Source organism: Homo sapiens, chromosome X (assembly GCF_000001405.40).
Source record: "Homo sapiens chromosome X, GRCh38.p14 Primary Assembly".
Classification (NCBI taxonomy): Eukaryota; Metazoa; Chordata; class Mammalia; order Primates; family Hominidae; genus Homo; species Homo sapiens.
In genome coordinates, this window is record NC_000023.11 from 24,122,823 (window position 1) to 24,133,937 (window position 11,115).

Below are 11,115 nucleotides of genomic sequence, written 5' to 3' on the forward strand. Positions count from 1 at the left end.
CATGACATTTAGAACATTATAAAGGCTAATGGTGGAAACAGATGGAATCTATGAAAAAGTCCATGATTTTTTTTCTTTTTTGAGACAAGGTCTTGCTCTGTTGCCCAGGCTGGAGTGCGGTGGTGTGATCCCAGCTCACTGCAGCCATGACCTCCTGGGTTCAAACAGTCCTCCCACCTCAGCCTCCCGGGTAGCTGGAACAACAGGCTCCTGGCTAATTTTTCTTTTTTCTTTTTTTGTAGAGATGAGGTCTCACTATGTTGCCCAAGCTGGTTTCAAAATCCTGGCCTCAAGTGATCCTCTCGCCTCGGCCTCCCAAAGCACTAGGATTACAGGCATGAGCCACTGCACCGGGTCCACTTCCCTTTTATAAGGATCTTTGAGATTACGTTGGCCCTGCTTGGATAATCTTGGATAATCTCCCCATCCCAAGATCCTTAATTTAGTGACATCTGCATAGTCCCTTTTGCCATGTAAAAGATTCCAGAAACTAGATTATGGATATCTTTAAGGGGCCATTATTCTGTCTACTACAGAATGTGGGTTTTAGTTTTTAGTTTTGTGTTTGCATTTTCTAATTTTATGTAATGTGCATGAATTACTTAAAGTGCATATGTTAAAAATAGAACAATGTTATAGTTTATTTTCAAGTGACATGAAATGTGGTTATTTATCTTTTATTAACTATTAACTTTTTTTTTTTTTTTTTTGAGATGGAGTCTCACTCTGTCGCCCAGGCTGGAGTGCAGTGGTGCGATCTCGGCTCACTGCAAGCTCCGCCTCCTGGGTTCACGCCATTTTCCTGCCTCAGGCTCCCGAGTAGCTGGGACTACAGGTGTGCACCACCACGCCTGGCTAATTTTTATATTTTTAGTAGAGACAGGGTTTCGCCATGTTGGCCAGGCTGGTCTCAAACTCCTGACCTCAAGTGATCTGCCCACCTCGGCCTCCCAAAGTGCTGGGATTATAGGCATGAGGCACCTCGCCTGTCCTGAAGCTTCAGTTTCATATGTAGCCAGTTATTACTTCATGCTAAATCAGAAAATTCCAATTCATAATTTTACGTTGTCAGAAATGGCAGCAAGAGTTTGGTAGCTAGGTCAGAAACTTCTGTGTGTTGGATGGAACAGGGACCCACAAATTGAGAAGTCATTTCTTCCATTTAGTGGGCAGGAGCCAAGAATGTCATATGTCCTTCAATGCATGTGACATTCCTGCAAGGAAGAATTTTCCTACGTCTAACATAATTTTCAAATGTCTCCCTAGACATTTGTGTATATGAAAACCTATTTGTGATTATCTGAGCCTAAACTTAACCTTGTTTTACCTGTAAACTCAAAGTACTACTTTTTTATGAAATTTATTTTTTTTAAAATATGAAATGCTTTCACAAATGTGCATGTCATCTAGCAGGATGTCATCTAGCACAGGGGCCATACTTATTTTCTTAGTATCAATATAATTCCAATGTTAGTATATTGCTGCTAAAGCAAGCAATAACTCAAAGGATTTTCTGCACGGTTTTAATATATGTGGAATTTTCCAGGAACGGAACTACTATGTAAATTGAAAGGAGTGTGTGTTGTTTTGTTTGGAACTTTTCCAAGAATAGCTTAATGTTTTAGAAAATCACACCAATGACATAAATGTCATTTATGGGCTGTGCTGGATATCTTCCATTTGCCTTTCCAGATTCACTCCACCCTTCTTTACCTACTCTGTGCCCAGCAAAGGGGCTGTAGCAACAGGTTTCCTTGCCTTCCAGCTTCTGGGTGGGTTCACTCAGTGGGAAGCATTGGCAGGAGATCTGGAAGGTGGGAGGAGAGTGAGGTGTGCCATTTGAAATGACCATCAAGGCTAGGTTGAATGTGCAAAGCCATATTCCATTAGAAAATGAAAACGTAATATATAAGTTTGGGTCCAAGCTGGTTGGAAGGCACAAGTAAACTGCATGAAGAGGTGGTTCAGACCCTCACGATGCTTGCTGCTACTGGTTTACTTCTCCTTTAACCCAGATCTGCGACTTCCTGGAGAGTTCCCTATGACTGGATAACAGAGAAAGAGCAAGGTTTATGATGCACAGTTTCCCAGCACAACCTAAAAGTGGGTGGTAGCTGCATTCTAGCCCCTGAAAGACAGTGGTGAAGGGGCAACACTTTGGGCAGTACTTCTTGTTGTCCCTTTCATGTGGAAGGAGAGATGGCCTATTTTCTCTACGGGCATATTGTTGGGAGAGGTGATCCCCCATGGCCCAGAGAGTTCCTGCTTGTTCTTGCTGGGCATGCCAAAAATGCAAGGTCCTGACTGCTCTTTAGCTGGGCCGTTTATCAGGGCTCTATTGCCAGGAGCTGCCTTGGGGGATGAGGTGATATCTCCTTCTGGGACAAAGAGCAGGCTTGCTTTCCCCAAGGCTGGTATTCCTTGGCTGTGAGGCAAACCTGCACTGTGTACACAGTGTATCCACCTGGGCCCCTTCGCAAGGTCCTGTGGGACTTGGAGACTTAGGGAACTGCATGATCCCATGTGAGACTTAGAGAACTGACACAAATATGCTGATGCTCATGCTGCTAGCTCGTGTTGCTGACATCCGTGAAATGGATATGTGGATCCACAAAAGGCTAACGTGTAAATAGGGGGAAATCCCAGACCCTGGCAAATATTCGTTAGAAACATTGCAGTTGGTTTTACAAGCTTTTGGACATCATGTGACTTGTATGTGATTTCGCATTGGAGGGTACAACTCAATTATTTCTCTGTAGTTTTGGTCCCTAAGGGAAAAACTTTGTCACTTTTGTGTTTGAATGATTTTTTTTTGTTGTTGTTATTCAGGCAAAACTCCACTGGCAAAGGTATCACTGCACATCTGTTGGAAAAAACAGGTCACTTTTAATAACTTCATGAACGTGTTTGACAGAGTTTCATAGCAAACAGTACTAAGGACTAAGGGCAACTGGATTGCCGATATAATAAACCAGAAATTTAAATATTGTCATTTTTTTCTATTCATCCTATAGATGGATAACATCACATGCCTCAAATTCCAATTGTTTATAATATTATTTTGCCCCTTTCTTTTCCATAGTAGCTTTTAAGCTTCTCAGATCTGTCTTTACTTTTTTCAGTTCTAAATAATGGAATTCCAGCATTTCATCTGCAACACCACAGGCCCTCCTGACTGCTGGTATAAGAAATCCTAGCAACGGAATAAGGAAAAAGTTATTTTTCTGGTCTCTTAAAATACCCTTGAAAATGTTATTTCTAACAAAGGGCTCTTGTAAGACATCTAGAACTCTGAGCTTGTGACTTGATCTATGAATGTAACCTTGGCCTTAAAAAACCTGAAATTCTTGGCCAGGCGCGGTGGCTCACGCCTGTAATCTCAGCACTTTGGGAGGCTGAGGTGGGCAGATCACCTGAGGTCAGGAGTTTGAGACCAGCCTGGCCAACATAGTGAAACCTCGTCTCTACTAATAATACAAAAATTAGCCAAGCGTCGTGGCACACCCGTGTAATCCCAGCTACTCTGGAGACTGAGGCAGGAGAATTGCTTGAACCCGGGAGGCAGAGGTTGCAGTGAGCCAAGATCATGCCACTCCACTCCAGCCTGGGCAACAGAGTGAGACTCTGTCTCCGAAAAGAAAAGAAAAGAAGAAAAGTCTGTAATTCTTTTGGTTTGTATCAATTAATAATCTGTTCCCCTAGTGATAATATTTAAATTGACCTCTCCATGTCCTAAAAGCTGTGAATACCTATGAGTTTTCTTTTCTTTTCTTTTCTTTTTTGAGACGGAGTCTCTCTCTGTCGCCCAGGCTGGAGTGCAGTGGCGCGATCTCAGGTCACTGCAACCTCCACCTCCCTGGTTCAAGCAATTCCCCTGCCTCAGCCTCCCGAGTAGCTGGACTACAGGCGCACGCCACCACACCCGGCTGATTTTTTTGTAGTTTTAGTAGAGGCAGGGTTTCACCATGTTGGCCAGACTGGTCTCGAACTCCTGACCTCAGGCAATCCACCCGCCTCGGCCTCCCAAACTACTGGGATTACAGGGGTGAGCCACCTCCCCCGGCCAAGTTTTCTTTAATAGCTAAGTGAATTGAAAATTTTTGTGCAGACAAAACCCTGTATGTAAATGTTTATAGCAGTTTTATTTATTTTATTTATTTATTTTTGAGATAAATACATTTATTTATTTATTTATTTTCAGTTTTGCTCTGTCACCCAGGCTGGAGTGCAATGGCGTTATCTTGGCTCACTGCAACCTCCGCCTGCCAGGTTCAAGCAATTCTCCTGCCTCAGCCTCCCAAGTAACTGGGATTACAGGCGCACACTGCCACGTCCAGCTAATTTTAGTAGAGAAGGGGTTTCACCATGTTGCCCAGGCTGGTCTTGAACTCCTGACCTCAGGTGATCCACCCGCCGCAGCCTCCCAAAGTGCTAGGATTACAGGCATGAGCCACTGTGCCTGGCCTATAGCAGTTTTATTTATTTATTTATTTTTGAGACAGAATCTCTCTCTGTCACCCAGGCTGGAGTGCAATGGTGTGATCTCGGCTCACTGCAATCTCTGCCTCCCAGGTTCAAGCAATTCTCCTGCCTCGGCCTCTCGAGTAGCTGAGACTACAGGTGCGTGCTACCACACCTGGCTAATTTTTGTATTTTTAGTAGAGATGGGATTTCACCATGTTTGCTGTCTGTTCTCAAACTCCTAACCTCAAGTGATCCACCCACCTCAGCCTCCCAAAGTGCTGGGATTATAGGTGTGAGCCACCGTGCCTGGCCTTATAGCAGTTTTATTAATCAATAACTGGGAACAACCAAGATCTCCTTCAGCAAGTGAATGGATAAACAAACTGTGGTATATGTGTACAGTAGAATACTCGTCAATGAAAAAAAGGAAAGATCTATCGACTCACTCAACAATACAGGTGAATCTTGTTTTTTTGTTTTTTGTTTTTTTGGGATGGAGTCTTGCTCTGTCACCCAGGCTGGAGTGCAGTGGCACGATCTCAGCTCACTGCAAGCTCCGCCTCTCGGGTTCACGCCATTCTCCTGCCTCAGCCTCCCTAGTAGCTGGCACTACAGGTGTCCGCCACCACACTTGGCTAATTTTTTTGTATTTTTAGTGGAGACGGGGGTCTCACCGTGTTAGCCAGGATGGTCTCGATCTCCTGACCTCGTGATCTGCCCGCCTCGGCCTCCCAAAGTGCTGGGATTACAGGTGTGAGCCACCTCGCCCAGCCAAATCTTGTTTTCTTTTAGTGGCAAAATATATATAACAAACATAGATGAATCTTTTTTTTTTTTTTTTTTGAAACAGAGTCTCGCCGGGCGGGGTGGCTTATGCCTGTAATCCCAGCACTTCAGGAGGCTGAGGGGCATGGATCACGAGGTCAGGAGTTTGAGACCAGCCTAGCCAATATGGTGAAACCCGGTCTCTACTAAAAATACAAAAATTAGCCGGGTGTGGTGGCACGCGCCTGTATTCCCAGCTACTTGGGAGGCTGAGGCAGGAGAATTGCTTGAACCCGGGAGGCAGAGGTTGCAGTGAGTCGAGATCGCATCACTGTACTCCAGCCTGGGCGACAGAGTGAGACTCCGTCTAGAAAAAAAAAAATTACCCAGTCTCTGATAAGTCTTTATCAGCAGCGTGAGAACAGACTAATACAAGGCTCTGGGGGGAAATTCATTTCCTTGCCTTTTCTAGCTTCTGGAGGCCATCTGCATACATTAGTTGATGACCCCTTCCTCACATCACTTCAACCTCTTGCTGCTATCCTCACCTCTCATATGACGTCCTTTGACCTTCTTGCCATCCTCTTTTAAGGACCCTTGTTATTATTAATACATTTAGGGCCCACCTGGATAATCTAGGATAATCTCGTCTTGAGATCCTTAATATAATTACATTTGCCTAGTCCCTTTGTCATAGTAAGGTAACATTCACAGGTTTTGTGGATTAGGACAGGATATCTTTCCGGGGTCATTATTCAGTCTAGAACAAGACTGAAAATAGATCAGTGGTTGTCAGGGGTAGGGGAGAAGGAAGGGTTGAGTACATGAGGTTGGTGGTGGATATACGACTCTACAATTGTCAAAACCTGTGGAATGGTACAACCCCAAGAGTGAACATTACTGTGTGCAAATTGAAAAAAAGAATCAACCTGGTTTTCAGTGATTCCAGGATGAAATGCAGAGGATGACAAAATAAATTAATTGTACCTGGAGGAAATCGTTAAGTGAAATAAACCAGGCACAGAAAGACAAATACTGCACGATCTCACTTATATGTGGAATCTAAAAAAGGAAAAAATTGGCCGGGCGTGGTGGCTTACGCCTGTAATCCCAGCACTTTGGGAGGCCGAGGCGGGTGGACCACCTGAGATTGGGAGTTCAAGACCATCCTGACCAACTTGGAGAAACCCCGTCTCTACTAAAAATAGAAAATTAGCGGGCGTGGTGGCACATGCCTATAATCCCAGCTACTCGGGAGGCTGAGGCAGGAGAATTGCTTGAATCCAGGATGCGGAGGTTGCCGTGAGCTGAGATCGCGCCATTGCACTCCAGCCTGGGCAACAAGAGCGAAACTCCATCTCAAGAAAAAAAAAAAAAAAGTTGAAAAAATAAGAAATAAAGAAGCAGAGAGTAGAAAGGTGGTTACCAGGGGCTGAGGAAGGGGAGGGGTGCTGGTGTTGGGGAGATATTGGTCAAAGGATACAAAATTTCAGTTTGACAGGAGGAATAAGTTCAAGAGAGCTATTGTACATCATGGTGCTTGTAGTTAATAACAATATATTGCATACTTGAAAATTGCTAAGAGAGTATATTTTAGGTATACCACGAAACATGATAAGTGTGAGAAGTAATGCATATGTTAATTAGCTTGATTTAGCCATTTCACACAATGTATACATATTTCAAAACAACATGTTGTACAAGGTTAACAGACAATTTTTATTTGTCAATTAAAAATAATAAAATAATTTAATTTTATGAAAAATATATGACATTACTGAAGATGGTGGAGAAGAAGTTGCTGATTAAGCAACGTTTGCTAAAAAGTGTTTTGATAGTGTAAGGCTAAAGACAAAAAGGACCGTACATAGGCCAGGCGAGGTGGCTCACGCCTGTAATCCCAGCACTTTGGGAGGCTGAGGTGGGCAGATCACCTGAGGTCAGGAGTTCAAGACCAGCCTGGCCAATATGGTGAAACCCCATCTCTACTAAAAATATAAAAATTAGCCGGGTGTGGTGGCGGGCGCCTGCAATCCCAGCTACTAGGGAGGCTGAGGCAGGAGAATCGCTTGAACCTGGGAGATGGAGGTTGCGGTGAGCTGAGACCCCGCCACTGTACTCTAGCCTGGATGACAGAGTGAAACTGTGTCAAAAAACAAAAAAACAACAACAAAAAACTGTACATAAACACAGTACTTTAGTTGGGAGCATCAAAGAACAATATCACAAATATGTAGTTTTAAGATCTTAGTTTGCTTTTTTGTGTGTGATTCTAGAATTGGGCAACACTTTATTCTGTAAAATAGAGTAAATGTTCCAACGGACTGAGCAGAGGAGGTTGATTTTATAGACAGAAAGGGCTGAAGAAAGCAGAAACAAAGAACAAAAAGTGGACTGGTCATTTCGAAGTTACTTTCCTTGTAAAGTGGGAACAGGGAAACAGAACAATAGACAAATAATTGATTGGTTAACATGAGGTTACTTCAGATTACTTTTTGTTGTAAGGACTAAAGGCAAAGGGAACTTCATTATCATGCTGATGGAAACTGGCCTGCTTGGGATATTGGGCTTTGTCTGTCTCCTGATTTCTCAGAAGGCCAGCTAACAACTCAGTTTTAGTCTGATGATGTAGATCTTGTTTTGTTTTGTTTTGTTTTGTTTTGAGACAGAGTCTCGCTCTGTCGCCCAGGCTGGAGTGCAGTGGCGCAATCTCAGCTCACTGCAGCCTCCGCCTCCCGGATTCAAGCGATTCTCCTGCCTCAGCATCCCAAGTAGCTGGGACTACAGGCATGTGCCAGCATGCTCGGCTAGTTTTTGTATTTTTAGTTGAGATGGGGTTTCTCCATGTTGGTCAGGCTGGTCTTGAGCTCCCGATCTCAGGTGATCCTCCTGCCTCAGCCTCCCAAAGTGCTGGGATTACAGGCGTGAGCCACCGTGGCCGGCCTATATAAGGCATTTTAATAGCAAGAAAGTTATCAACAATTGCTAGGTTCCCGTCTAAAGGACTAAGGAGCCAACTTAAAGAAGTTCCTACTAGCCAAAATTAAAATAATTTGAGTATCAACAGAAATAATTGCAGTTGATTGAAACACATCAAATAAGTTTGAGCCCATTAATATATAATATTACTAAACAAACTTATTTTTACCTTTAAAAAAACCTGATTGAGGTAGAGGACTTCCAAAATAGTGGGATGAGGAGATCAGTAGATATACTCCCAAATGGAACAAACTTTAACTGGTGAAAATTATTATTGTTTTTTTCTTTTTGTCTTCATTTTTTTGGGGGGGAACAGGATCTTGCTCTGTCACCCAGGGCAGAGTGCAGTGGCATGATCATGGTTCACTGCAGCCTCAACCTCGCAGGCTGGTCTTGAACTCCTCAAGTGGAGAAACTTATTCAAGAAAATCTACCTACTAAACCTTGGGAAGAACAATGGGAGTCTGTGGCTTTTGAACCCCAAAATGCTTCCTGTCCTCTCACCTCAAGCTCAGTGTGTTAGAAGCTCTACTCTGGGAAGACACAGCCAAGAAGATGGGGCACCCTTTCTTCCCAGATCCCAGAGTAGGGCTATGGTTTTACTCTAGGAAGGGCATGCCATCAGCATCGCATCACCACCAGTTCTGTCTTACAGAAGTTGTATTCCAGGCAACTGCAGGGCAGAGGATTGGAGCTCCCTCCTCCTTCCAGCCTCCACCTTAGAGCAGAAGTTCTACTACATGGAGGCAGGCTGCAGTACTTTGCCTTGCTTATTCACAGGGTAGAGTTTCCACACCAGGAGGAGGGAGATGAGAAGACCAGGGGATACTATCTTTGCCCAGTGCCCCTCTTGAAGAGCAAGTGTGTCATTCTGGGAAAAGCAGGCCACCATCTTCCTCCCCCGGCCAGCTCAGGAGTAGTGGTACAGAGGTTCTGTCCAACAGGAGAGGCAAACCAAAAGAACAGATTGCTGGCTGGGTGTGGTGGCTCACGCCTGTAATTCCAGCACTTTGGGAGGCCAAGGCGGGCGGATCATTTGAGGTCAGGAGTTTGAGACCAGCCTGGCCAACATGGGGAAACCTTGTCTCTACTAAAAATACAAAAATTAGCCGAGCGTGTTGGTGGGCACCTGTAATCCCAGCTAGTCAGGAAGCTGAGGCAGGAGAATCACTTGAACTGGGAAGGTGGAGGTTGCAGTGAGCCAAGATCACGCCACTATACTCCAGCCTGGGCAACAGAACGAGATTCTGAAAAAAACAAAACAAAACAAAACAAAACCATAGAACAATCACCTAGAAATTAGAAGAGGCTAAGTGGGTGTGAAGTAGACCAGCCAAAAGCTTAACAGTTCATCAGGGAAATAGATAGAGAGCCTAGAGTCAGTCATCCCTGGTGGTCATGGAGACTGTGTGTGCCCAAGGCTGTGGCCTCTGAGGAAGACACCAGCGGCTCCACATTGCATGGGTACCTGGACTTCACCGAACTAGTCCAATCAAGTCACTAAACAAATAACAAGCAAATACAACAGGTCCTGGAGGTAGGTAAGGGGGAATCAGTATCCAGAGTTGCTACCATAGTCTCTAAAATGTCATTTTCAACAACAAAAAAATTACAAGACATGCAAGAAAAAGGAAAGTGTGACCAATACATAAGGAAAAAGCACACAATAGAAATTGCTTTTGAGGGGTCAATGGGTTGAACTTAGCAAAACTTCAAAGCAGCTATTACAAATATATTCAAAAAACCAGGCGAAACCATGTTTAAAGGGTTGAAGGAGGCCGGGCAAAGTGGCTCATGTCTGTAATCCCAGCACTTTGGGAGGCCCAGGTGAGCAGATCACCTGAGGTCAGGAGTTCAAGACCAGCCTGGCCAACATGGTGAAAACCCGTCTCTACTAAAAATAGAAAAATTAGCTGGGTTTGGTGGTGTGGACCTGTAGTCCCAGCTACTCGGGAGGCTGAGGTGGGAGGATCACTTAAGCCTGGGAGGCAGACGTTGCAGTGAACCGAGATTGTGTGCCACTGCACTCTGGCCTGGGTGACAGAGTGGCACCCTGTCATAAATAAATAATAATAATGCACTAAAGAAAAAAGTGTCAAAATTAATTGGTGTTACCCTCTGGGACAGCTGTCCCTTAAAAAAAAAAAAAGAATCACTTGCACCTAAACCCAAAGAATCACTGTTTCTTGAAGTGGTGGTTTAAACAAGGTGCAAACAGCAAGCGAATCTCATTACTTTTGGTGGCTGTGGCCATGCTCCTTAAAGTGAACTTAGAGGCTCTACATCCCTGGTGGCCAGTGCCTGCTGGGACCAGAGGCTGTGGCCATCTGGCCCCCCAGTCAGCCCCAAGTCATCGCCCCCAGGCAATGGCTGTGCCTGACAGAATGTACCAGGTCACTGGACAGGCACTCGATAGGAGGTTTGCCAAATGCCTAGAGTCCAGGAAATGCGGTTACCCTGCTCCCTCCCCCTTTTTAGAGACCTAGACATGGGTGCCCAGCACCACACCCTGGCCCACTGGAGGAGATTACAGCCAGCAAGTGCAGTTCCACAAATCCATCAAGTTCCTGCTGCTCCACCGCGTCCTGCACCATCAGCACAAGCCATGCTTCACTACCAAGAGGACCAACACCTTCTGCTAGTTGCAGGGGCCTCTCACCCCAGTGTGCCCCATATAAACTCGGGTACGCCAAGAAAGAAAAAAAGAAAGGAAGGAAGGAAGAGAGAGACAGAAAGAAAGAAAGAAAGAAACAATCAGTAAATTTGAAGATCAATAGAGATTATGCAATCTTAAGAACAGAGTGAGAAAAAGAATGAAGAAAAATTAGAAGCTTCACAGAAATCTGGGACACCATTAACCACACACCAATATACATGTAATGGGAATACTAGAAAAAGAAAAGGAGA

At 44.5% G+C, this 11,115-nt stretch overlaps 1 non-coding gene across 1 annotated transcript; it reads left to right on the plus strand.

Moving 5' to 3' along the window:
* The first annotated feature begins 10,363 nt into the window (after positions 1-10,363).
* LOC124900492 (small nucleolar RNA SNORA68) lies at positions 10,364-10,495 on the plus strand. The gene has a single exon (XR_007068424.1). It is a non-coding gene; the product is annotated as a small nucleolar RNA SNORA68 (small nucleolar RNA).
* Positions 10,496-11,115: the final 620 nt, after the last annotated feature.